Raw genomic sequence first — 26,642 nt, 5'->3', positions numbered from 1 at the left:
CTAAAAAAAAAAAAAAAAAATTATAGCGGAGCATGGTGGCTCATGTCTGTAATCCCACACTTTGGGAGGCTAAGGCGGGTGGACCATTTGAGGTCGGGAGTTTGAGACCAACTTGGCCAACATGGTGAAACCCGTCTCTACTAAAAATACAAAAATTAGCCGGACATTGTGGCCAGCGCCTGTAGTCCCAGCTACTGGGGAGGCTGAGGCAGGAGAATCGGTTGAACCCCGGGAGGTGGAGGTTGCAATGAGCTGAGATCGCGCCACTGAACTCCAGCCTCCATGACAGAGAGAGACTCTGTCTCAAAAAAAATAAAAAGTATTAAAGAAAATAATAAATAAATAAACGGGGGAGGGGGATACCACCCTCTGTCCTGCCCCAACTCTCTACCTTCCTCTCCTCCCTCACCTTCTACCCTGACCCCGAGGCCCACCGCACCTAGCTTTCTTTTGTTGATCTACCTGTATATTGCCTTTCCCCCGACCCCGACGCCCCATAGAATATGAGACCCTCCAGGTCAGGGTCTGGATCTCAGCCCTCTTCGACCACAGTCTCTCAAACCCCAGCCAATTGTCAAATCCAGGAAGCTACATGAAGAATCAAGAACAAGTGCACAGGGCTGTGTGACCCCACGCTTAGTCTCAGGGAGAGGGAAGTTGGACCTCTCCCAAGAATCCGTGGGCCGACCCATTGTTAAGTTACAGGCTAGCATGAATCCATCCACTGGAGCTCTGAAGACGGGGGGCACATTGGGCATGTAACTAGAATCCTGAACAGGAGGAGTCCACTGAGAACCCTAGGGGAATGACCTGGGCCAGCATCTCTCCCTACCCTGTGCCCCCCACTCACTGGGGCCCAGTGGTTGGGTCCTTTGTGAGGCAGGCTGAGGGGACAGTGGATCCTGAGGGTCTGTGGTCACAGTAGGTAGGAAGTCTCAGAGGAAGGAGCCCCTCCCTGGGAGCCAGACCCCCACACCATGGCGAGCGTGGTGGTGAAGACGATCTGGCAGTCCAAAGAGATCCATGAGGCCGGGGACACCCCCACGGGGGTGGAGAGCTGCTCCCAGCTAGTCCCAGAGGCTCCCCGGAGGGTGACCAGCCGGGCCAAGGGGATCCCGAAGAAAAAGAAGGCCGTGTCGTTCCACGGGTGGGTTTGTTGCACACTGTCAGGGATGGTTCTAATGCCCAGCACTACCTCCAACAGAGCAGGAGTCCGACTGTGGGTGCTAGAGGAAGGGGAGGGGGAAAAGCCAGCAGGTCGGGGGCAGGAAAGAGGGCAGCAGTGAAGAGACATCAAGTCACAGGGAGGTAGAGAGGAAGAAGGTAATGGGGATGGATGGAGGGAGGAAGAAGGTAATGGGGATGGATGGAGAGAGGAAAAAGCCAGTGGGGAGGGAAGAAGGAGAAGGGAGGCTAGTGAATGAAGAAGAAAGTAGGTGGCAGAGAAGGGAGGAGAAAGTAGGCAGCGGGGAAGGAGAAGAAGAAAGTAGACAGTGGTGGTCGGGCACGGTGGCTCACGCCTGTAATCCCAGCACTTTGGGAGGCCGAGGCAGGTGGATCATGAGGTCAGGAGTTCAAAACCAGCTTGGCCAACATGGTGAAAAGCCATCTCTACTAAAAATACTAAAATTAGCTGGGCGTGATGGCACATGCCTATAACCCCAGCTACTCAGGAGGCTGAGGCAGGAGAATTGCTTGAACTGGGACCCGCAGTCGGAGGTTGCAGTGAGCTGAGATCGCGCCACTGCACTCCAGCCTGGGCAACAGAGTGAGACTCTGTCTCAAAAAAAAAAAAAAAAGAAAGAAAGAAAAAAGAAAGAAAGTAGGCAGCACAGGGAAGGAGAATAAAGTAGGCAGCGGGGACAGAGAAGGGAGAAACTTATATACAGTGAGGGTGGAGTCACAGGGGGTGAGGTATGGAGAAAGGAAGGCAGGAGGGCCCAGACACCCTGGGGCTGCTTCTCCACTTTTCTGCCTGTTTCTTCTCTGCAGGGTGGAGCCCCAGATGTCCCATCAGCCCATGCACTGGTGCCTGAACCTCAAACGGTCCTCGGCCTGCACCAACGTGTCACTGCTCAACCTGGCCGCCATGGAGCCCACTGACTCCACGGGGACAGACTCCACAGTGGAAGACCTCAGCGGCCAACTCACACTGGCTGGGCCCCCTGCCTCCCCTACCCTACCCTGGGATCCGGATGACGCAGACATCACGGAAATCCTGGTGAGGGCCCTCCACACCACCCGCTGGGGAGGACCGAGGTCCTCCACAAGGTGGTAGCAAATACTTAGGACGGGGGTGGGGTGTTTTTGACTTGGAGTTAGAATGTTCTGGTCATTCGAGACCCAGAGGAACTAACTGGGAACTGCCTCCTCCTTCTCTGACAGCCAGCCATGAATCTGGGAGTTGGTCTTTTTTTTTTCTTCCTTTAGAGACAGTCTCACTGTGTTGCCCAAGATGGTCTCAAACTCCTGGGCTCAAGTGATCCTCCCACCTCGGCCTCCCACAGTGCTGGGATTACAGGCGAGAGCCCCCGTGCCTGGCCTGGGTGGTCTTCAGTTCACACAGTCACTCCCAAATGTCCCCAGTGAGGCTGGGCTCAGGAAACAGGCCAGATCCCTGTGCTTGGGGAGCTCCCAGTCTGGTGGGGGCAAAAGACACAGACTAGGGTGAGAAATTCCCTAACGGAGGAGATCCCAGAGAAAGGCCCCTCAAGCCAGGCTGGGGGGTACCAGGGAAAGCTTCCTGGAGGAGGATGTCTTGCAACTGGACCTTAGTGAGTGAGTAGGAGTTCTCTGAGGGGAGTCAGCTAAGAATCTGGGGCAAAACTGAGAGATGAGCAAGATTTAGGGGGACTTAGGGAATTTCTGGCAAAAGTATAGAGGGTTACAAATGGGTCCTTTAACTCACTGCACCTCTGATCCTCACCCCCCACCTGGCTTCCCCTGGGCCAGGCCTAAAACAGGCTCTACCAGATACTGAGAACCACATTAACAATAGCCATGATCTTAATGATGCTGATAAGATTCACTAGCACTTTCTATGTTCAGGGAGCCCTGGTTTCCTCATCTGTAAAACGGAGATGCATACATTCGTTCCTTTATTTTTAAATTTTATTTATTTATTTATTTATTGAGACAGAGTTTCGCTCTTGTTGCCCAGGCTGGAGTGCAATGGCGTGATCTTGGCTCACAGCAACCTCTGCTTCCCGGCCGGGTTCAAGCCATTCTCCTGCCTCAGCCTCCCGAGTAGCTGGGACTACAGGCATGTGCCACCACACCCAGCTAATTTTGTATTTTTAGTAGAAACAGGGTTTCTCCATGTTGGTCAGGCTGGTCTCGAACTCCGGACCTCAGGTGATCTGCCCACCTCGGCCTCCCAAAGTGCTGAGATTACAGGCGTGAGCCACCACGCCCAGCTTTTGTTTATTTATTTTTAAGGCAGGGTCTTGCTCTGTCTCCCAGGCTGGAGTGCAGTGGCACAATCACAACTCACTGCAGCCTCGAACTCCTGGGTTCAAAGGATCCTCCCATCTCAGCCTTCTGAGTAGCTGGGACCACAGGCACACACCTGGCTGATTAAAAAAAAATTTTTTGTAGGCCAGGCGCAGTGACCTATAATCTCAGCACTTTGGGAGGCCGAGGCGGGTGGATCATGAGGTCAGGAGTTCGAGACCAGTCTGGCCAATATGGTGAAACCCCGTCTCTACTAAAAATACAAAAATTAGCTGGGCCTGATGGTGTGTGCCTGTGGTGGTGGGCGCCTGTAGTCCCAGCTACTGTGGAGGCTGAGGCAGGAGAATTGCTTGAACCCGGGAGGCGGAGGTTGCAGTGAGCCGAGATCACGCCACTGCACTCCAGCCTGGGCGACACAGCGAGAGTCTGTCAAAAAAAAAATAATAACAATAATAATAATTTTTGTAGAGACAGGGTCTCACAATGTTGTGCAATCTGGTCTTAAACTCAAGCAATTTTTGGGCCTCAGCCTCCCAAAGTGCTGGGATTACAGGAGTGCAACACCATGCCCAGCCACATTTATTCTTTTTAACAAATATCTCTTTTCCTTTCTTTATTTTTTGAGATGGAGTCTCACTCTGTAGCCAGGCTGGAGTACAGTGGTGCGATCTTGGCTCACTGCAAACTCCACCTCTTGGGTTCAAGTGATTCTCCCACCTCAGCCTTCCAAGTAGCTGGGATTACAAGAGCGCCACCACACCTGACTAATTTTTGTATTTTTAGTAGAGATGGGGTTTCACCATGTTGGCCAGGCTGGTCTCGAACTCCTGACCTCAGATGACCGCCCACCTCAGCCTCCCAAAGTGCTAGGATTACGGGCATGAACCACCGCACCTGGCCTCTCTTTTTCTTTCTTTTTATTTTATTTTATTTTTTTGAGACAGGGTCTCACTCTATTGCCCAGGCTGGAGTGCACTGGCATGATAATAGCTCACTGCAACCTCAAACCCTTGGGCTTAAGCGATCTTTCCACCTTGACCTCCCAAGTAGCTGGGACTGCAGGTGTACACCACCGTGCCCAGCTAAACAAATTTTTTTCTTTCTTTCGGTTTTTTTTTTTTTTTGAGACTGGGTCTTGTTCTGTTGCCCAGGCTGGAGTGACAGCATGACAGTCCAGGCACAATCTTGGCTCACTGTAGCCTTGGCCTCCCCAGGCCCAGGTGATCCTCCCACCTCAGCCTCCCGAGTAGCTGTAACTACAGGCACATGCCACACACCCAGGTAATTTTTTTTTTTTTTTTTTGGAAATGGAGTCTCGCTCTGTTGCCAGGCTGCAGTGCAGTGGTGTGATCTCAGCTCACTGCAACCTCCACCTCCCAGGTTCAAGCCATTCTTCTGCCTCAGCCTCCCGAGTAGCTGGGACTACAGGTGTGTGCCACCACGCCCGGCTAATTTTTGTATTTTTAGTAGAGACGGGGTTTCACCATGTTGGCCAGGATGGTCTTGATCTCTTGACCTTGTCATCTGCCTGCCTCAGCCTCCCAAACTGCTGGGATTACAGGCATGAGCCACCGCTCCCGGCTTCACCCAGCTAATTTTTTAAAAAAATATTTGAGGCCGGGCTTCGTGGCTCATGCCTGTAATCCCAGCACTTTGGGAGGCTGAGGCAGGCAGATCACCTGAGGTCGGTAATTCCAGACCAGGCTGATCAACATGGAGAAACCCCATCTCTACTAAAAATATACAATTAGCCGGACGTGGTGGCACATGCCTGTAATCCCAGCTATGTGGGAGGCTGAGGCAGAAGAATCGCTTGAACCTGGGAGGCAGAGGTTGCAGTGAACCGAAATCGTGCCATTGCACTCCAGCCTGGGCAACAAGAGCAAAACTCCGTCTCAAAAAAAAAAAAGAAACAACTAAGGTAGACAGTGGTGTAGTAACCTCCACAAGGTCAAGGTTGGAGGGGTTGTAAGAAGCAGGACCAAGACAAGAAGGCTGCTGCTTTTGTCACTAATGCAAAAGGGCTTTCTCTCCCCAAGACTCCCTTGGGCTGAGTGGGGGATGTTTGGAGGGGAGAGACTGAGGCAGGGAGGCCAGAGGGGAGCCTGGGCGAGGGTCCAGGGAAGGAGGAGGAGCTGCAGAGAACAGGGCAAAGAGTCTGGGCTGGGAAGGATGTCTGGGAGACATCTCCTCCCTCAGACAGAAGAGCTCTCCGCCCTGTCTTGGGGAGTGTCCCTCAGGCAGCACTTGCAGCCGTTTGCCTCCCACCAGAGCTATTTCTGAGTCACATCCCCCACTGGATCGTGAAGCCTGAGAAAGTACCCCAGGCAGCCAGGATCAAGGTCTGACACAGCTGCCAGCTCGCTGTGGGGCTGCAGGGGAGTGTCGGCCTCTAACGGGCTTCAAGTTCCTTCTCTGTGAAATGGAAAAAGTAATGACCTTGGGGTGCCTGCTGGAGAGGTGAGGGGGGCAGCAGGAGCTGGAACCAGCACCCAGCACCTGAGCTGCATCCAGAGAGAAGGCGGGGACAGGCAGAGAGAAGGACACAGAGACCCAGAGAGAGAGGGAGACAGAGACCCAGAGAGAGAGAGGGGAACAGAGACCCAGAGAGAGGGGAAGGGAGACCAGGGAGAGGGGGACAGAGACCCAGAGAGTGGGGGACAGAGACCAAGAGAGAGGAGGACAGAGACCCAGAGAGAGAGGAGGACAGAGACCCAGAGACAGAGGGGGGCACATGCCTGTAATCCCAGCTACTCGGGAGGCTGAGGCAGGAGAATCGCTTGAACTCGGGAGGTGGAGGTTGCAGAGAGCCGAGATCGTGCCACTGCACTCCAGCCTGGTGACAGAGTGAGACTCTATCTCAAAAAAAAAAAAAAAAAAAGAAGACAGAGACCTAAAGAGTAGAAAGGCAGAGACTCAGGAAAAATAAGTCAGAGACTCTGAGATTTGGGGGACAGAGCTGAATCAGGGTGAGACAGAAGACCAGAAATAGAGGAGGGGGATAGAGACCCAGAGAGAGAAGGAACAGACACAGGGGCTGGGTGGGGACAGAGAACTGGAAAGAGGGGGACAGAGAACCAGGCGGTGATGGAGACCCTGGTTGAGAGAGTGTCAGTTTCCAGGTAGGAGGAAGGACAATGGGAACCCTGTGAAGGTAGTTGTTAGTTATATCTCCATTTCACAGGTAGGGAAGCAGAGGCACAGAGAGGTGAAGTCCTCTCCATGAGGTCATACGGCTAGTAACTGGGAGAAATTAGTTGGCCCTAGGTCCTGTTGCCTTGGTTTCCAGAACAATTACCCACAGGAAACCCAAGACCTTCTGAGTCTTCAGGTTAGAAAGACACTTTGTGTAATGCTTTCTATTGCTGTGAAACCAATTACACCAAAACTTCAAACAACAAACTTGGAGGGGCTCAGCTGGGTGGGCCTGGCTCAGGGCGTCTCACGAGGTTGCAAACAAGATTTTGGCTGGGGCTGCAGTCACCTGAAGGTTGGACTGGGGCCAGAGGTTGTGCTACCAAAATGGGGCACTCACCTGCCCTTGGCTGGAGGCCTCAATTCCTTGCTACATGGGCCTCTTCATAGGTGGCTGCTTATGACATTGAGGCTATCGTTCCCTAGATGAAGAGAGAGCAAATAAGAAACAGTTCCTCTTATGAAGTAGTCTCTTACCTCACATATCATCAATTCTACTTTATTCTATTTTTTTATTTTTTGAGACAGAGTCTCTGTCACCTAGGCTGGAGTGCAGTGGCGCAATCTCGGCTTACTGCAGCCTGTGCCTCTCAGGTTCAAGCAATTGTCTTGCCTTAGCCTCCTGAGTAGCTGGCATTACAGGTGTGCACCACCATGCCCAGCTAATTTTTGTATTTTTTGTAGAAACAGGGTTTCACCATGTTGGCCAGGCTGGTCCTGAACTCCTGACCTCAGGTGATCCACCTGCCTCGGCCTCCCAAAGTGCTGGGATTACAAGCATGAGCCACCACAACTAGCCTGCCTTATTCTATTTCCTGGGTGTGAGTCACCAAGTCCAGCTCATACTCAAGTGAGGCAAATAAGGCTCCACGTTTTAAAGGAATGTGAAAGAATTTATGGACATATTTTAAACTATCACATTTTGTGGGATTTTTGTAGCTGCCCTTTATTGGGATGAGGAAGTTCCTTTCTTCCTTTCTATTTCTAGTTTGTGGAGTGTTTTTTTTTTTTTAATCATGAGTGGTATTTTGTCAAAAGCTTTTTCTCAACTGACATGATCATGTGTTTTTTTTCCCTTTTATTCTATTAATATGGTATGTAACATTTATTTGTTTTTAGAGACAGAGTCTTGCTCCATTGCCCAGGTTGGAGTGCAATGGTGCCATCATAGCTCACTGCAGCCTCAACCTCCTGGGCTCAAACAGTCCTCCCACCTCAGCATCCCAAGGAGCTGAGACCACAAGCACATGCCACTGTACCCAGATAATTTTTAAATTTTTTGGTAGAGATGGAGTCTCACTATGTTGACCTGGCTGGTCTAGAATTTCTGGCCTCAGGTGATCCTCCTGTCTCAGCTTCTCAAATTGCTGGGATGAGCCACCATGCCCAGTCATTGGTTGATTTTAGTATGTTGAACCAACCTTGCATTCCTGGGATAATTCCCAGTTGGTCACCATGTATAATCCTTTTTACATGCTGTTGGATTTGGTTTGCTAGTATTTCGTTGATGATTTTTGTGACCATATTCATAAAGGATATTGGTCTGTGGTTTTCTTTCTTTCTTTTCTTTTTTTTTGAGATGGAGTCTCGCTCTGTCGCCCACACTAGAATGCAATGGCACGATCTCGGCTCACTGCAACCTCCGCCTCCCAGGTTCAAGCGATTCTCCTGCCTCAGCCTCCCAAGTAGCTGGGACTACAGGTGCCTACCACCGCGCCAGGCTAATTTTTGCATTTTTAGTAGAGACAGGGTTTCACCATCTTGGCCAGGCTGGTTTCAAACTCCTAACCTCATAATCCACCCACTTTGGCCTCCCAAAGTGCTGGGATTACAGGCATCAGCCACCAAGCCCAGCCACCTGGCCCATTTTATCCTATTTTAAAAGTGTTTTTATTTTCATTTTTATTTTTAGAGACGCAGGTGTTACTTTGTTGCCCAGGCTGGTCTCAAACTCCTGGGCTCAAGCGATCCTCCCATCTTGGCCTCCCAAAGTGCTGGAAATACAGGTGTGAGCCACCATGTCCAGCCTTCTTATTGTTGTTTTTTATGAGACAGGGTTTTGCTATGTTGGCCAGGCTGGTCTTGAGCTCTTGGTCTCAAGTAATACACCCTCCTCAGCCTCCCAAAGTCCTGGGATGACAGCAGTGAGTCACTTGGCCCGGCCCCTGGAGCCTATTTGGAGTTCATTTGGCTTCTTGGATGTGTGGATTTATGTTCAAATCATCAAGTTTTGGAAGTTTTCAACCATTATTTCTTCAAATATTCTTTCTGCCCCTTTCTTTCCTTCTGGGACTCCCAGATCCATAGGTCTCTGAGGCTGTATTCATTCTTCTTCATTCTTTTTGTTTTCATGTTTCTCAGGCTGGATAATCAAAGTTGAGCTATGTTCAAGTTCACTGAATCATTATTCTGCTACAGAGCCCCCTCTAGTACATTTTTCACTTTGGTTATTGTACTTTTCAACCCTAGAATTTCTTTTTTGAGACGGAGTCTCTCTCTGTTGCCAGGCTGGAGTGCAGTAGTGTGATCTCAGCTCATTGCAACCTCTGCCTCCTGGGTTCAAGCGATTCTGCTGCCTCAGCCTCCCGAGTAGCTGGCTCTACAGGTGCACACCCCATCCCCGGCTAATTTTTGTATTTTTAGTAGAGACGGGGTTTCACCTTGTTGGCCAGGATGTTCTTGATCTCTTGACCTCGTGATCCGCCTGCCTTGGCCTCCCAAAGTGCTGGGATTACAGGTGTGAGCCATTGCGCCTGGCCCTTCAACCCTATAATTTCTATTTGGTTTCTTTTAATAATGTTTGTCTCTTTAGTGATATGCCCTATTTGGTGAGACATTATTCTCTCAATTTCCTTTAGTTATTTAGGAATGGTTTCCTTTAGCACTTCGAACATATTTAAAGTAGCTGATTTAAAGTGTTTGCCTAGTAAGTCCAAATCTGCCCCCGCCATCCTACCCCTGAACAGTTTCTCTTGACTGCTTGTTTGTCCTCCATTGTATAGGCCATAGTTTTTTTTCTTTGCATGCCTTATAACTTTTTTGTTGAAAACTGGCCATTTTTTATTTTTTATTTTTTTTGAGATGGAGTCTCACTCTATCACCCGGGCTTGAGTGCAGCGGCATGATCTTGGCTCACTGCAACCTCTGACTCCCAGGTTCAAGCGATTTTCCTGACTCAGCCTCCCCAGTAGCTGGGATTACAGGTGTGCACCACCATGCCTGTCTAATTTTTGGATTTTTAGCAGAGACGGGGTTTAACCATGTTGGCTGGGCTGGTCTCAAACTCCTGACCTCAGGTGATCCACCTGCCTTGGCCTCCCAAAGTGCTGAGATTACAGGTGTGAGCCACCGTGCCTGGCCTGAAAACTGGCCATTTAAAGTATCATAATGTAGCAGGGAACGGTGGCTCACGCCTGTAATCTCAGCACTTTGGGAGGCCAAGTCAGGCAGATCACCTGAGGTCAGGAGTTCGAGACCAGCCTGACCAATATGGTGAAACCCCCATCTCTACTAAAAATACAAAAATTAGCCAGGCGTGGTGGCGGGTGCCTGTAGTCCCAGCTACTGGGGAGGCTGAGGCAGGGGAATCGCTTGAACCCAGGAGGCAGAGGTTGCAGTGAGCCGAGATCATGCCACTGCACTCCAGCCTGGGGGACAGAGGGAGACTCTGTCTCAAAAAAAAAAAATACAATAAAAAATAAAGTATCATAATGTAGCAACCCTAGAAACAGATTCTCCCCACTCATAAGGATTTGTTGTTATTATTGCTTGTTATAGTTGCTTTTTATTTTATTATTTTTATTTATTTATTTTTATTATTATTTGAGACATGATCTTGCTCTGTTGCCCAGGCCACTGTACAGTGGCATGATTGTGGCCCACTGCAGCCTCTAACTCCCAGGCTTAAGGGATCCTCCTGCCTCAGCCTTCTGAGTAGCTGGGACTACAGGTGTGCACTACCAAGCTCAGCTAATTTTATTTTATTATTATTATTATTATTATTATTATTATTATTGAGATGGAGTCTTGCTTTGTTGCCCAGGCTGGAGTGCAATGGCGCGATCTCGGCTCACTGCAAGCTCCGCCTCCCGGGTTCACACCATTCTCCTGCCTCAGCTTCCCGAGTAGCTGGGACTACAGGCGCCCGCCACCACGTCCAGCTAATTTTTTGTATTTTTTAGTAGAGACGGGGTTCACCATGTTAGCCAGGATGGTCTCGATCTCCTGACCTCGTGATCCACCCGCCTCGGCCTCCCAAAGTGCTGGGATTACAGGCATGAGCCAACACGCCCGGCCTATTTTATTACTATTTTTTAAGGGATTAGGTTTTACTATGTTGCTCAGGCTGGTCTTGAACTTCTGGGCTCAAGCAGTCCTCCCACCTCATCCTCCCAAATTGTTGGAATTACAGGTGTGAGCTACTGCACCTGGCCTGTAGTTGCTTTTTAAAAAACAGACTTTTCTGAACTATTTCTGTAATATCTGTGTTCTTTGTCATGTTTGGCCACTGAAGTCTCTGTTCTCTAATTTTAGTGGTTAGCTAATGATTGGAGAGACATTTCCTTAAACTGGAACAACAACAAAATCTTCTAGTCTTTGCCAAATGGCACTCTGTGTGCCTGATGAGGCACACCTTTAACACTCAGACAATTTACAACTCTACCTTAGCCTTCCCTTCCTGCTTGTGCAGCGTTTCAAGGTTTCAAGGTCAGCCAGAGGTGAAAAGCTTGGGGCCTTCTCAGAACTTTCCCAAGCATGTACACAACCCTACACAGGCCAATGGCTTTCTACATTCCCAGGAATTTGTTGGAACATTTCAAGGCTTCTACAGATATGTCCATCAGATTTTCCTTTTAAGATTTTTTGCTTTTTATTGTTTACCCCAACTGTTATCCATTGCCTTCGGCAGTAGCAACATTAAAACAAGCGTAAAATTTTTTTTTCTTTACAAATGTTCCCTCTCCCACTCCATGTTAGTCCATTCTTGCATTGCTATAAAGGAATACTCAAGGCTGGGTATAAATAAAAGAGGTTTAACTGGCTTATGGTTCACAGGCTATCTGATAAACATGGTGCCAACATCTGCTCAGCTTTTGGTGAGGGCCTCATAGCAAAAGGTGATGGAGCCAGCATATCACCTGGCAAGAGCAGGAGCAAGGAGATGCCACACAAGTTTTTTTTTTTTTTTTTTTTGAGATGGAGTTTTGCTCTGTTGCCCAGGCTGGAGAGCAGTGGCATGATCTCGGTTCACTGCGACCTCCACCTCCCGGGTTCAAGCGATTCTCCTGCCTCAGCCTCCCAAGTAGCTGGGACTACAGGCATGCATCACTATTCCTGGCGAATTTTTGTATTTTCAGTAGAGTCGGGCTTTCGCCATGTTGGCCAGGCTAGTCTTGAATTCCTGACCTCAGGTGATCTGCCCACCTTGGCCTCCCAGAGTGCTGGGATTACAGGTGTGAACCACCACGCTCAGCCTGGGAGTTACATTTTTTTGTTGTTGTTTTTGAGACAGGATCTCAGTGTCATCCAGACTGGAGTGCAGTGGCGCAATCTCGGCTCACTGCAACATCCACCTCCCAGGTTCAAGCGATTCTTCAACCTCAGCCTCCTGAGGAGCTGGGACTACAGGTGCACACCACCACACCTGGCTACTTTTTTTTTTTTTTTTTTTTTTTTTGTAGAGTTGGGGTCTCACCATGTTGTCCAGGCTGCTCTCAAACTCCTGAGCTCAAGTGAACCTCCTGCCTCAGCCTCCCAAAGTGCTGGGATTACAGGTGTGAGCCACTGTGCCTGGCAAGGGATGACATTTTAACATGAGATTTGGAGAGGACAAACATCCAAATCTTTCCTTCAACTATCAGAGATGCTTTCACGGCTTTGCCAGTTCTGAAAAGGAAAGACAAATATTCTGTGTGGGGTCTTCCCAGGCATCACTTAACAATCATAGAATGACTCTTCTTTGGGTTATGAGGCTTTGAATGAGTTCTAGCTTCATTCTGCTTCCTCCCTGTGGGAAATGTGGGCTGTTATTTTCCAGGGTTCCTGCTGAGCTAGGGAGTGGGAGATAGGACTAGGATAAGTTAAAATTCCTCAAGTCTTGCCGTTTTTTATCGAGAGTCACTTTTCTTGAATAAATGCTCTTTGAGTTGCTGCAAGCCTTTGGTTAATTTCCAGAATTGTGAACAAACTGCTTCTTATGGTTTTTGTTAGTTTTTTCATTGTTTTTATGGAGGGGTGGAATTTTTGAATTCCTTTTTTTTTTTTTTTTTTTTTTTGAGATGGAATCTCGTTGTCGCCCAGGCTGGAGTGCAATGGCGCCATCTAGGCTCTCTGCAACCTCCGCCTCCTGGATTCAAGCGATTCTCCTGTGTCAGCCTCCCAAGTAGCTGGGATTACAACTGCCTGCCACCACGCCTGGCTAATTTTTGTATTTTTAGTAGAGACGGGGCTCCACCACGTTGGTCAGGCTGGTCTCGAACTCCTGACCTCAAGTGATCCACCCACCTCGGCCTCCCAAAGTGCTGGGATTACAGGTGTGAGCCACTGTGCCCGGCCTGAATTATTTAATCCACCATTTTGCTGTTGTTAACTGGATACAATATTTCTTATTCCACTTCTTCCCCAGAGCAATCATGCAAGAAATGTGTTGCTGCCTCCATCTCACAAGGGAGGAAACTTATTCTGTCTATCTTTTGTGTATTAGTTCAGCAACCATGAGAGAAACCAAGAGAACTGCTTTTTTGCACATAAAATGCTTGATAAGCTTAGTAGCTCTGCTCTTCAAATGCAGCAGGTTACAGGTGTCTACGTTCTGGTTGCTCAGCCATTTCTAGACAGTTGCTCTCGCCACTGCCTTCCAGCCATTAAGCAGGGGGAACAGGGGAAGAGATCATGCCTGTCTTTTCCACACATCGACCAGTGCCCACTTCCCTTCCATCGGCTGGAACTGGTCATAAACAGCTGGCAGAGGGCTCTCTGGGTCTCTTTTCCTTCAGGTGTGAAATAAGAATGTCAATGATAGGCCGGGCACGGTGGCTTACGCCTGTAATCCCAGCACTTTGGGAGGCCGAGGTGGGTGAATCACGAGGTCAGGAGATCAAGACCATCCTGGCCAACATGGTGAAACCCTGTCTCTACTAAAATACAAAAAATTAGCCTGGTGTGGTGGTGCACGCCCGTAGTCCCAGCTATTCGGGAGGCTGAAGCAGGAGAATGGCTTGAACCTGGGAGTGAGAGGTTGCAGTGAGCCGAGATCATGCCACTGCACTCCAGCCTGACAAAAGAGCAAGACTCTGTCAAAAAAAAAAAAAAAAAGAATGTCAATGATATTGAAGTTATACATTTGACTACTGTAACAAAAAAACACAAAATAACACAGCTTGAATAACACAGAAGATGTAATGTCTCACCCTGAAAGTCTTCACAGGTGGTTGGAATGGAGTATGGTGGCTCCATGTCAAGGATTCAGGCTTCTTCTGTTTCATTGTGTCCTCTATCTGCTGGTCCAAGACAGCCCTCAATTGTGCATTCCAGTGAAATGAGAGAAAAAGGGAAAGTTCTCACTCTTTTCCTATAAGGGATGACTCAGAAATTGACTATAATTCTGCACAGTCTAAGTAATGATGTAGGCTAAAAAAAAAAATAAATAAAAGAGAGAGAAAAAAGGAGGCTGGGCACAGTGGCTCATGCTTGTAAGACCAACACTTACAGGCAGACACAAAAGGATCACTTGAGCCCAGGAGTTTGAGGCCAGCTTGGGTAACGTAGTGAGAACCCATCTATACCAAACATCTTAAAATTTTGCTGGGCATGGTAGCAAGCACCTATACTCTTAGCAACTTGGGAGGCTGAGGCAAGAGGATCATTTCAGCCCAGGAGCTGGTGAGCTATGATAGTACCGCTCCACACCAGCCAGGGTAATAATGAGAGACCCCCCACACACACACACCTCCCCCAAAAATAAATTGACTACATTATTTCCACTCACATTCCATTGGCCAGAACTTAGTCACATGGCCACACCTAGCTGCAAGGAAACCTGGGAAATGTAGTCTCTGGTTGGGCAGTCATGTGCCAGGCTAAGGCTTCTGTAACTGTCCAAGCTGGGAGAATGGATCCTACCACATGCATCCCTCCTGAACCACGGATTGGCAGGAGTCGCACAACACTTTATGTGATATAAAGTAATGATGACCAGAGGCCACATGGTGTCATGGTTTAAAACAAGCGTTCTGAATCTAGATTCTGATGAGATCACCTAATGTGCTGAGTGCTTGGGAAGACAAGGGATATCCCATTTCTGAGACCCATTTGTCTCACTTGTAAAATAGGCCAAATAACCTCAAGAGGCGGAGTTGTGAAGAATAAAAGACAAGACAAGTGCTTGGTGCATAGCAAGTGTTCATATCTGAAAAGTGGCTTCCTTTGTAATTCACCAGTTCCTGGAGAGAAAGGGCATGTGTTTTCAAAGTTTCTCTTTTTAAGCTGTGGACCCCAAGGACTTTTTTTTTTCTTTAGACGGAGACTCGCTCTGTCGCCCAGATTGGAGTACGGTGGTGCAATCTCAGCTCACTGCAGCCCCTGCTTCCCAGGTTCAAGCAATTCTCCTGCCTCAGCCTCCCAAGTAGCTGGGATTAAAGGCACCACCACGCCTAGCTAATTTTTGTATTTTTAGTAGAGTTGGGGTTTCACCATGTTGGCCAAGTTGGTCTTGAACTCCTGACCTCAAGTGATCCACCCACCTCGGCCTCCCAAAGTGCTGGGATTACCAGAGTGAGCCACGGCACCTGGCCCCCAAGGACATTTAGCTCAGTGTTTGGTTGAGTCCATCCTTCTTCCTCCACATGTCTGAGCACCCCACCTCCATCCCCCTTTCCCTCCTGGATCCTATTTTTCTCCCAGCCCACCATGAAGAAAGGTCGTTTATGCCCTGGGTTTGCCGCGCAGGAATGCTAAGAATCAGAGGTATAGCCCTTGGCTCCAAGTCACATAGCCATTCCAGGGCAAAATCAAGGTGTAAACACAGCCTCCCAGTTCTGGAATTCTTCCTGGGCTTGGGGCTTGCCCCCACATACCCACTAACTCACCTGTCTCCCATTCTTCCCCAGAGTGGGGTCAACAGTGGATTGGTCCGCGCCAAAGACTCCATCACCAGCTTGAAGGAAAAGACCAACCGGGTTAACCAGCACGTGCAGTCTCTGCAGGTGTGAGGACCCCCTATATCCAACACCTGCCCTTCCTCCAGGGCCAAGTTCCCTTCTTGGAGCCTGCCTCCAGCAGAATGCACCCATAGCTCAGTTGGGGAGCTTGAGGCTCAGAAAGAAAAGGAACCTTCCCAGGCCCAGATCTTCTTTTCCACAGGCTGTCCCCTCGTGTCCTTGGCTAACCTCTCCTCCTTCCATGCTCCAGAGCGAGTGTTCTGTGCTGAGCGAGAATCTGGAGAGAAGGCGGCAAGAGGCAGAAGAGTTGGAGGGGTACTGCATTCAACTCAAGGTGAGCCAGTGGGACGCAGGAATGGATGGGGAGAGGGGAATGGGAGTAAGAAGAGGGTGGGAGAAAGAGGGGAGGAGGCTGGGTGCAGTGGCTCACATCTGTAATCCCAGCACTTTGGGAGGCCGAGGCAGGCAGATCACCTGAGGTCAGGAGTTTGAGACCAGCCTGGCCAACATGGTGAAACCCCATCTCTACTAAAAATACAAAAATTAGCCAGGTGTGGTGGCGGGCGCCTGTAATCTCAGCTACTTGGGAGGCTGAGGCAGAAGAATTGCTTGAATCCACGAGGTGGAAGTTGCAGTGAGCCAAGATTGCGCCACTGCACTCCAGCCTGGCCGACAGAGCGAGACTCAGTCTCAAAAGAAAAAAAGAAAAGAAAGAGGAGAAATGGAATGGGTGGACCGAAGAGAGGTGGGAGGAAGTGGAGGGGTGCCACTCTGGCACATCTGGCTAAGGAGGAAGCCATCCCCTTAGCCAAGGAAATGAGCTGGTGAGTGTGTCTTGTACTGGGGGGCTAGGAGGCCTGGAGCCTGGATGGAAACAGACAGGCTAAGGGTTGGGAGGCAGAACTGGAATGGGAAGGCAGGGCCCTCGCCCTGGTGTCTGACCCAGGAGAACTGCTGGAAGGTGACCCGGTCTGTGGAAGATGCTGAAATCAAAACCAACGTCTTGAAGCAGAATTCTGCCCTGCTGGAGGTAAGGGCTAGGGGGCAGTCCCAGGATTTGTGGGAGGAGGTCAGATGCACGAGGGACTCAAGATACACTTTTAGGTGGAACTCCCTGCCCCGACACCACCACCACACTGCACCTTCGTGCACATAGTCATCCTTAGAACTCGCTGATAAGAGGGATTCAAATGAGGCTCCAACACCCAGATGGGGGACTCTTGCCCTGCAGTCACATTCAGGTCCCAGAAAGAGAATCGAGCTGGACTTCAGGTGAGAAGGCCCGTCCTGTCCACATGCCCACTCATTTTCCAACAAAATGCTGAGAAAGCTTCAGTTGTTCTTGCCAAGTGGCCGGGACTGGTATTTGACGCCTGGAGGGCTTGGAGGGCCGGGTGGATACCTGGAGGCAGGCTGTGGGAGGTTAGCGGGAATTGGAGTCCAACTGGGCCTCAAATGGTGCCTCCCCTCCCTAATGACAGCCAGTGAGACTTCCAACATACTGTCCCCACAGGCGTTCTACTTCCAATCTCGGGGAGTACTGGAGCGGATTTTGGGGTGGAGGTGGTTGCGGGAGGAAAGCGGCTGGACGCTGTGACCCCGTCCTCCCTTACCACCCAGGAGAAGCTGCGCTACCTCCAGCAGCAGCTGCAGGATGAGACGCCGCGACGGCAGGAGGCCGAGCTGCAGGAGCCGGAGGAGAAGCAGGAGCCGGAGGAGAAGCAGGAGCCGGAGGAGAAGCAGAAGCCGGAGGCTGGCCTCTCCTGGAACAGCCTGGGCCCCGCCGCCACGTCCCAGGGCTGCCCCGGCCCGCCAGGGAGTCCCGACAAACCCTCGCGGCCACACGGCCTGGTCCCCGCAGGCTGGGGAATGGGGCCTCGGGCTGGCGAGGGCCCCTACGTGAGCGAGCAGGAATTGCAGAAGCTGTTCACCGGCATCGAAGAGCTGAGGTGGGCGGGACCTAGGGGCGGAGCCTCGAAAACGAGATCGGCGGGGACTCAGGGGTGGAGCCTCGAGGAGATGCGGTGGGCGGGACCCAAGGGACGGGGGTTCTCAAGTAGCTGAGGTGGGCGGTGACATGGGTGGAGCCTCGGGGACCTGAGGTGGGCGGGAACATGGGAGGAGCCTCGAGGAACGAAGGTGGGTAGAGACACGGGAGGAGTCTCCAGGAGCTGCGGTGGGCGGGGACACAGGGGAGGTTCCTCAAAGATCGTTTTTTGTTTTGTTTTGTTTTTTTTGAGGCGGAGTCTCGCTTGTCGCCCAGGCTGGAGTGCAGTGGCGCCGTCTTGGCTCACTGCAAGCTCCGCCTCCCGGGTTCACGCCATTCTCCTGCTTCAGCCTCCCCAATAGCTGGGACTACAGGCGCCCGCCACCACGCCTGGCTATTTTTTTGTATTTTTAGTAGAGACGGGGTTTCACCGTGTTAGCCAGGATGGCCTCGATCTCCTGGCCTCGTGATCCGCCCGCCTCGGCCTCCCAAAGTGCTAGGATTACAGGCGTGAGCCACCGCGCCCGGCCTAGATCTTAACCGGAAGGCGACAAGGCTGGGGTCTCCAAGAGCAGAGGAGGGAGTGCCCCGAAGGCAGTGACCTGAGCAAGGGAGGGACAGAATAAGGAACTTTTTAGTTCTGGGCTGCTGGGAGGCAGGTCCAGGCCTGGTGAAACTGAGGTGGGCGGGGCTTAGGAGAGGAGTGGTCCTGGAGGCACCACGTGGGGCAGAGTAGGGTGGGCAGTGCCTTGGGGGGCCAGTGTCTGGAGGAGCCCAGGTAGAGGTTGGGGACCTGACCAGGAAAGGGCCAAGATAGCCAATAAAGGAAGGGGATAAAGGCGGGGCTCTGGAGGACACGACCAAATTTCACCAAATGGAGGGTGCAATAAAATTTGGTGACCTGGGTGGGTCTGGAGCCACGGGCATGGTCTCAGTGGGGCGAGATAGGTGAGTCCTGTCCCACCTATCTCGTGGGGGTAGGTGGGGACCTGTTGAAGCCTAGCCCCTACCCATTCCCCTCCTCTGCCCCTCCAGGAGAGAGGTGTCCTCACTGACCGCCCGGTGGCATCAGGAGGAGGGGGCGGTGCAGGAAGCCCTGCGGCTGCTCGGGGGCCTGGGCGGCAGGGTCGACGGCTTCCTAGGCCAGTGGGAGCGGGCACAGCGCGAACAGGCACAGACGGCGCGGGACTTGCAGGAGCTGCGAGGTCGGGCGGATGAGCTGTGCACCATGTGAGGATTGGGGCCAGTGCATGGGAAGACCGGAAGGGGCAGGGCAATCCCAACCTGAGGGCGGGGTCTTGAGGGAAATGGGTAGGCCAATCAGCTATGGCCAGGCATTCCGGAACATATACCGACATCGGGAAACACCAATTAGAGAGCAGGAAGGGTTGCATCAGCCCTAATAAGGCCTGAGGGGTGGAATCAATTAGAGAAGGGGTGTGGTCTATACCTTAAAAGGGCAAAGGGTGGGGTCAAGTGGGATCCGAGAAAATCAATTAAGAGAACTAGGAGGGGCATTCCAAACAGTAATCTACAAAAGGTGGCCCAGTGAGGTGGCTCACATCTATAATCCCAGCACATTGGGAGGCCGACGTGGGCGGATTACTTGAGGCCAGGAGTGCAAGACAAGCCTGGGCCACATAGCGGAGACCCCATCTCTACAAACAATTTAAAAATTAGCTGGGAGTGGTGTGGTGTCGCACCCTGGTAGTCCTAGCCACTCGGGAGGCTGAGGCAGGAGTGATCGCTTGAGCCCAGGAGTTCAAAGCTTCAGAGAGCTATGATGGTGCTGCTGCACTCCAGCCTGGGCCACAGAGCCAGACCCTGGCTCAAAATAGTCAACAGATAAATAACATAACATAAAGTAAAATACAAAAAGTGAGGCCAGTCAGAGCAGAGAGGGGAGGGCAGGGTGGAGAATTGCTGACCAGATGGAGACGCAAGTGGTGGGCTAATAATGGGTGGAGTCTTGCCAGGGTTATACCGCTGAAGAGACGACCCAGCAGCACTGGTTACTCATGCCTCAGGGTGGAGCGGTCAGCAGTGTCTGTGGCTTCACTGAGGAGCGAACTGGAGGGGCTGGGCCCACTGAAACCCATTCTGGAGGAGTTCGGGCGGCAATTTCAGAACTCTCGAAGAGGGCCTGACCTCTCCATGAACCTGGATCGGTCCCACCAAGGCAACTGTGCCCGCTGTGCCAGGTAACGGGGCTGGGCTTGCCTCTGGGAGCCTTGTGGATAGGACATTAAAGGAGATGCGGAAGGAGATGGGACATTAGTGAAGGGTGGGGCGCTGTTCATTTTGGGAGACAAGGTATCCCAGTGCATTGTAGAAACAGCCGGTCCTGCTGCACTAGAAGCCTCATTTGTTCCCACTCTACAAGGTAGAATCAGTGTCTTGTGGAACTCAAGAGAAACTTGGTACAGGCCGGGCGCGGTGGCTCTCGCCTGTAATCCCAGCACTTCGGGAGACCAAGGTGGGCGGATCACTTGGTGTCAGGAGTTCGAGACTAGCCTGGCCAACGTGGTGAAACCCCGTATCTACTAAAAATACAAAAATTAGCTGGGCGTGGTGGCGCGTGCCTGTAATCCCAGCTACTCAGGAAGTTGGGGCATGAAATTCACTTGGACCAGGCTGGGCGCGGTGGCTCATGCCTGTAATCCCAGCACTTTGGGAGGCCAAGGCAGGCAGATCACAAGGTCAGGAGATCAAGAGCATCCTGGCTAACATGGTGAAACACCGTCTCTACTAAAAATACAAAAAAAAATTAGCTGGGCGTGGTGGCGGGTGCCTGTAGTCCCAGCTACTAGGAAGGCTGAGGCAGGAGAATGGCGTAAATCCGGGAGGTGGAGCTTGCAGTGAGCTGAGATCATGCCACTGCACTCCAGCCTGGGAGACAGAGTGAGACTCCATCTCAAAAAAAAAAAAAAAAAAAAAAGAAATTCACTTGGACCCGGGAGGCGGAGGTTGCAGTGAGCCGAGATCACGCTACTGCACTCCAGCCTAGTAGGTAGAGTGAAACTGTGTCTCAATAAAATAAAAATAAAATAAAAAGGGTGGACGCAGTGGCTCACACCTGTTATCCCAGCACTTTGGGAGGCCAAGACGGGCAGATCACTGAGGTCGGGAGTTTGAGACCAGCCTGGCCAACATGGTGAGACCCCATCTCTACTAAAAATACAAAAATTAGCTGGGTGTGGTGGTGAGCACCTGTAATCCCAGCTACTTGGGAGGCTGAGGCCAAAGAATCTCTTGAACCTGGGAAGTGGAGGGTGCAGTGAGCCAAGATCGTGCCATTTCACTCCAGCCTGGGCGACAGCAAGACTCCATCTCAAAAAAAAAAAAACACTTAGTACATTTTAAGCATCATATTTCCAGTGCATTGTGGGAAGGCTGGGATGTGAACATGAGGAGAGGCAGGGTTTCAGTGCACTGAGGGGGAAGTGAGACCTTGGTGTATTGTGAGAGCCGAGGGATACACCATTTTTGGCCCATTGTGGGAAGGTCCATTGTAGGAAAGGGGGACTCACAGTACAACATGAAATCGAGTTTCACTAGTGTATTATGGGAAATGTTAGTTCTTGACGGCCTTTGCAAACTGAGGGCTGTCTGGTGCCCTTAGGAATAGTGACTCTGGCTGGGCGTGGTGGCTTACGCCTGTAATCCCAGCACTTTGGGAGGCCAAGTGGGAGGATCACCGGAGGTCAGGAGTTTAAGACCGGCCTGGCCAACATGGTGAAACCCCATATCTACTAAAAACACAAAAATTAGCTAGGCGTGCTGGCGGGTGCCTGTAATACCTGCTACTCAGGAGGCTGAGGCAGGAGAATCGCTGAACTCAGGAGGCAGAGGTTGCAGTGAGCCAAGATGGTGCCACTGCACTCCAGCCTGGGTGACAGAGCGAGACTCCATCTCAAAAAAAAAAAAAAAAAAAAGGGCCGGGCCCGGTGGCTCATGCCTGTAATCCCAGCACTTTGGGAGGCCGAGGTGGGCAGATCACGAGGTCAGGAGATCAAGACCATCCTGGCCAACATGGTGAAACCCCGTCTCTACTAAAAATACAAAAATTAGCCGGATGTGGCGGCACATGCCTGTAGTCCCAACTACTTGGGAGGCTGACGCAGGAGAATTGTTTGAACCCGGTAGGTGAAGGTTGCAGTGAGCCAAGATTGCGCCACTGCACTCCAGCCTGGGTAACAGAGCCAGACTCCGTCTCAAAAAAAAAAGGAGTAGTGATCCCCAGAGCACCATGGAAACCAAGGGACAGCTGGTGCACAGTGCATGCTGGGAAGGTTGCATAGGGTGCATACTGGAAACGAGGCCAAATGGAGGCTCCACAGGTGAGCATGGGGCATGGGGCGTCCTGGAGTTGGTACTGGGCCTCTTTATCTGGTGACCGCCCCTCCCCCAGCCAGGGGTCGCAGTTGTCTACGGAGTCCCTGCAGCAGCTGCTGGACCGAGCACTGACCTCACTAGTGGACGAGGTGAAGCAGAGGGGCCTGACTCCTGCCTGTCCCAGCTGTCAGAGGCTACACAAGAAGATTCTGGTACCAGGGAATATGGGCCACCATGTCCCACTTTACTTTTCTGTTGGGGCAAGGGGAGGGGAACCCCGGACTCAAGGGTACTGCTGGTGTGTGGCAGAAGGGGAAGGGCTGAGCTGGGAGCAGCAGGCACTGGGGGAGGACTTGGCCCTAATGCATGGGGAGATGGACAAGCAGTTTGGTGGTGAGTGAGTCACAGGCCAATCATTACGCTACCTCGGAAGATGGACTTGGGCCTAAAGCATGATAGGACGTTGGATCTAGTGCATTGTGGGACACGAGACAGACACCAGTCTAAAGCTTCATGGAACATAGGCCTGATTTTCTCTAAACTTTTAGAGAGGCGGTGCATTGTACAAGATCATTGGGGTCAGCTATATTGAGGTAAAATAGGAGACCCAGTGACTGTAGGCCCCAGTTAGCTGATGCGTTATGGGAAATGGAACCACAGCTCTTCCTGGGGCATTGCACAACACACTCAGCCCAATAGTTGGTGGAACTTGAGCCCTAGTGCACTGTATTATGGGATATTGACCTAATGTACTATAGGATTATGTTGTAGTGGGTGAGACAGACAAGTGAGGCACTGTGGGACATTGATGTGGCCGAGCTATAGGACTAATACATGAGAGGAAATGGGGCTTGGTGCAGTTGTACGTAGAGAACCAGGGCACTAAGGACTGTTTTTTGTTTGTTTGTTTGTTTGTTTTGAGATGGAGTCTCGCTCTGTCGCCCAGGCTGGAGTGCAGTGGCGCAATCTCGGCTCACTGCAAGCTCTGCCTCCTGGGTTCACGCTATTCTCCTGCCTCAGCCTCCCAAGTAGCTGGGACTACAGGCGCCTGCCACCATACCTGGCTAATTTTTTGTGTTTTCAGTGGAGACAGGGTTTCACCGTGTTAGTCAGGATGATCTCGATCTCCTGATCTCGTGATCCGCCTGCCTCAGCCTCCCAAAGTACTGGGATTACAGGCGTGAGCCACTGCGCCCGGCCTTTTTTTTTTTGGAGACAGAGTCTCGCTCTGTTGCTCCAGGCTGGAGTGCAGTGGCGCCATCTTGGCTCGTTGCAACCTCCACCTCCCAGGTTCAAACGATTCTCGTGTCTCAGCCTCCTGAGCAGCCAGGATTACAGGCATACACCACCACGCCCAGCTAATATTTGTAGTTTTAGTAGAGATGGGGTTTCACCCTGTTGGCCAGGCTGGTCTCGAACTCTTGACCTTAAGTGATCCACCCGTGTCGACCTCCCAAAGTGCTGGGATTACAGGCGTGAGCCACTGCGCCCGGCCAGGACTTTTGTGTGAGAGGTGCTGGTCTAATGGATAAGGAGATGTGGGGTCTTCCAAATTATGGAATGTAGGAGGTCACCATGTGGTAGAATACTGGGGTGCACACACATATCAAATGTAGGATAGTTCATGAGCTTAGGAGACAGACGATAGGCACTGATTTAGTGCTTGCTGGGACATAGGTCAGTGCATCATGGGACAGACAATAGGACAGACACAGATTTAGTCCACAGCGGAATCTGGAGACCAGTGCATTGTGGGATGCTGGGGTCAGTCTCAAGCTCAAGGCATGATGGGAAACTCTGAGGGAGAAATGTGGGCCCCATGGGACCCTACCCTTTGCCCTCCGCAATCCAGTTCCCCCTCCACCCCCAGCCCAGTCCAGCAAGCCCAGCTACGCCTACGCTCCTCTCCCCAGGAGCTGGAGCGCCAGGCCTTAGCCAAACACGTCAGGGCAGAGGCCCTGAGCTCCACCCTTCGGCTGGCCCAAGACGAGGCCCTGCGGGCCAAGAACCTACTGCTGACAGACAAGATGAAGCCAGAGTGAGGAAGGAGGCTGAGGGCATGGGAGGAGGGTGAGATCTTGGGGAAAGGGCCTGATCTCCCCTTCCACTCCAACACCCCAGCACCTAGCCATGCCGCCATCAACTCCCCGCTGCCTCATGACAGGGAGAAGATGGCCACTCTGGACCATCTACACTTGAAGATGTGCTCCCTCCACGATCATCTCAGCAACCTGCCACTTGAGGGGTCCACGGGAACAATGGGGGGAGGCAGCAGTGCAGGAACCCCCCCAAAACAGGGGGGCTCAGCCCCTGAACAATAAATGGCCTCTCATGCTAGCATGAATTCTGTCTGCTTTTTGGGACCAGAGTCCTAGTGAATTGCACACACACCATGCACTCCCTCTATGCCCAATGTGATTTATTTATTTTAATTAATTAATTAACTTTATTATTCTTTTTGAGACAGATTCTCACTCTGTCGTCCAGGCTGAAGTGCGTGTGATCTCGGCTCACTGCAACCTCCACATCCTGGGTTCAAGCAATTCTCCTGTCTCAGCCTCCCGAGTAGCTGGGATTACATTCGCACACCATCATGCCTGGCTAAGTTTTTGTATTTTCAGTAGAAACAAGGTTTCCCCATGTTGCCCAGGCTGGTCTCAAACTCCTGAGCTCAGGCAATCTGTCTGCCTTGGCCTCCCAAAGTGCTAGGATTACAGGTGTGAACCACCACACCCAGCCCACTGTGATTTATTTAATTTTCAGCAAACAGGATGTCGTGGTCCCCACAGAGGTGCTGGTGGTGGTACAGTTCTTTGAGATGGCAATGGTGGTAGAAACAAGGTTCTGTGGTATAGTATAGGTCTGTCAAGTCAACATTTTTTAGGCTGATTATTACTAGATAACTATATTAGTTGTCTATTGTTGTGTAAAAATACCCCATAAGTTAGTTGCTTAAGATAACAAATGTATCTCAACTTCTGAAGGTCAGAAATACAATCAGTTAACCTCACTCCTGGGGTTAGGTCCTGGCTGAGATCCTCATGAAGTTAGAGTCAAGATGTCAGCCAGGACCAGAGGCGGTGGCTCACACCCATAATCCCAGCACTTTGGGAGGCTGAGGCGAGTGGATCACTTGAGACCAGCAGTTTGAGGCCAGCCTGGCCAACATGGTGAAACCCTGTCTCTATTAAAAATACAAAAATTAGCCAGGCACACACCTGTAGTCCCAGCTACTCGGGAGGCTGAGGCACAAGAATCGCTTGAACCCGGGAGGCAGAGGTTGCAGTGAGCTGAGATCGCGCCATTGTACTCCAGACTGGGTGACAGTGAGACTCCGTCTCAAAAAAAAAAAACAAAAAACACAAACAACAAAAAAAAAACATTGAAAAATTGAGACAGTGTCTCACTATGTTGCCCAGGCTTGTTTGGAACTCCTAGACTCAAGGGATCCTCCTGCCTTGGCCTCCCAAAGTGCTGGATTACAGGCATGAGCCACTGTGCCCAGCCGGACAATGTTTTTTTTTATACCCAGGGCTTTTCACCCATAGATTTAATACCCCTCCCCCGCCAGTACACCTCTGAGCTCAGAGGGAAAGCACAGAGTTATGATATTTCCCTCCATAAAAGACAGAATAGGGAATTGGCAGTTCCTCAAAGTAAAAATACCCTCTCTAACAGACAGAATATACCTGGAAATACCCTCTGTGTCTGGCAGAATAGCCAATTTCTTCAGGTGAAAATGAGGCAATAGGCCGGGCACAGTGGCTCATGCCTGTAATCCCGACACTTTGGGAGGCCAAGGCAGGCAGATCACTGGAGGTTAGGAGTTTGAGACCAGCCTAGCCAACATGGTGAAACCCTGTCTCCACTAAAAATACAAAACTTACCTGGGCATGTTGGAGTATGCCTGTAATCCCAGCTACTAGGGAGGCTGAGGTAGGAAAATCGCTTGAACCTGGGAGGTGGAGGTTGCCGTTAGCCAAGATCACGCCACTGCACTCCAGCCTGGGCAACAGAGTGAATGAGGCTCTGTCTCAAAAAATAAAATAAAATAATAAAGAGAAAAAAATGCAAATCCAGAAGATATTGCAAGAAACATATGAAGTAAAGTGGTTAGAATAATTTGATAAAGTTTTCTGTTGTCTTAAAATGAAACTTCAGTGTAAGAAACAGAAAAATAGGCCGGGCGCAGTGGCTCACGCCTGTAATCCCAGCACTTTGGGAGGCCGAGGCGGGCGGATCACGAGGTCAGGAGATCGAGATCATCCTGGCTAACACGGGGAAACCCCGTCTCTACTAAAAATACAAAAAAATTAGCCGGGCAAGGTGGGGGGCGCCTGTAGTCCCAGCTACTCGGGAGGCTGAGGCAGCAGAATGGCGTGAACCCCAGGGGGCGGAGCCTGCAGTGAGCCGAGATCGCGCCACTGCACTCCAGCCTGGGCGACAGTGAGATTCTGTCTCAAAAAAAAAAAAATAAACAAAAAAAGAAACAGAAAAATATATCCTCAATAGTT

General features: G+C 51.0%; 1 protein-coding gene and 1 long non-coding RNA gene across 2 annotated transcripts, besides 5 other annotated features; one reads left to right on the top strand and one right to left on the bottom strand.

Annotated features, from left to right (window-relative positions):
• Positions 1-918: 918 nt before the first annotated feature.
• On the top strand, positions 919-24,465 carry TSKS (testis specific serine kinase substrate). The gene is made up of 11 exons (NM_021733.2): positions 919-1,147; positions 1,993-2,221; positions 15,756-15,851; positions 16,057-16,140; positions 16,753-16,836; positions 17,427-17,755; positions 18,829-19,023; positions 19,821-19,994; positions 22,205-22,340; positions 24,042-24,166; positions 24,293-24,465. The coding sequence occupies exons 1-11, from the start codon at positions 978-980 to the stop codon at positions 24,447-24,449; spliced, it is 1,779 nt and encodes a 592-aa protein (NP_068379.1). The 5' UTR covers positions 919-977; the 3' UTR covers positions 24,450-24,465.
• Positions 2,166-2,758: an enhancer, noted in NCBI's record as "H3K27ac-H3K4me1 hESC enhancer chr19:50264724-50265316 (GRCh37/hg19 assembly coordinates)". NCBI's record gives its function as "activates a minimal SCP1, AML or CMV promoter by ChIP-STARR-seq in naive H9 embryonic stem cells {active_cell/tissue: H9 hESC(naive)}" and the evidence as "EXISTENCE:reporter gene assay evidence [ECO:0000049][PMID:30033119]".
• Positions 3,527-3,744: a silencer, noted in NCBI's record as "fragment chr19:50263738-50263955 (GRCh37/hg19 assembly coordinates)". NCBI's record gives its function as "represses an EF-1alpha promoter that drives an FKBP-Casp9 reporter gene in an ReSE screen in K562 erythroleukemia cells {active_cell/tissue: K562}" and the evidence as "EXISTENCE:reporter gene assay evidence [ECO:0000049][PMID:32094911]".
• On the bottom strand, positions 6,346-16,083 carry LOC105372434 (uncharacterized). The gene is made up of 3 exons (XR_936019.3): positions 15,735-16,083; positions 14,058-14,163; positions 6,346-7,070 (listed from the first exon to the last, which is right to left on the bottom strand). It is a non-coding gene; the product is annotated as an uncharacterized LOC105372434 (long non-coding RNA).
• Positions 17,018-17,537: an enhancer, noted in NCBI's record as "H3K27ac-H3K4me1 hESC enhancer chr19:50249945-50250464 (GRCh37/hg19 assembly coordinates)". NCBI's record gives its function as "activates a minimal SCP1, AML or CMV promoter by ChIP-STARR-seq in naive H9 embryonic stem cells {active_cell/tissue: H9 hESC(naive)}" and the evidence as "EXISTENCE:reporter gene assay evidence [ECO:0000049][PMID:30033119]".
• Positions 17,538-18,057: an enhancer, noted in NCBI's record as "H3K27ac-H3K4me1 hESC enhancer chr19:50249425-50249944 (GRCh37/hg19 assembly coordinates)". NCBI's record gives its function as "activates a minimal SCP1, AML or CMV promoter by ChIP-STARR-seq in naive H9 embryonic stem cells {active_cell/tissue: H9 hESC(naive)}" and the evidence as "EXISTENCE:reporter gene assay evidence [ECO:0000049][PMID:30033119]".
• Positions 22,659-22,953: an enhancer, noted in NCBI's record as "tiled region #2111; HepG2 Activating DNase matched - State 3:PromF". NCBI's record gives its function as "activates a minimal TATA promoter and a strong SV40 promoter by Sharpr-MPRA in HepG2 cells {active_cell/tissue: HepG2}" and the evidence as "EXISTENCE:reporter gene assay evidence [ECO:0000049][PMID:27701403]".
• Positions 24,466-26,642: the final 2,177 nt, after the last annotated feature.

This window comes from Homo sapiens, chromosome 19 (assembly GCF_000001405.40).
Source record: "Homo sapiens chromosome 19, GRCh38.p14 Primary Assembly".
Lineage (NCBI taxonomy): Eukaryota > Metazoa > Chordata > Mammalia > Primates > Hominidae > Homo > Homo sapiens.
This window is presented reverse-complemented; position numbering and strand designations above follow the sequence as displayed.

Excerpts from the sequence above, each read along its gene's own strand:
- TSKS (NM_021733.2), top strand. The coding sequence starts at position 978 with ATGGCGAGCGTGGTGGTGAAGACGATCTGGCAGTCCAAAGAGATCCAT. Across the intron at positions 16,837-17,426 it reads AGAATTCTGCCCTGCTGGAG|GAGAAGCTGCGCTACCTCCA; the intron begins GTAAGGGCTAGG and ends CTTACCACCCAG. Across the intron at positions 17,756-18,828 it reads ACCGGCATCGAAGAGCTGAG|GAGAGAGGTGTCCTCACTGA; the intron begins GTGGGCGGGACC and ends CTGCCCCTCCAG.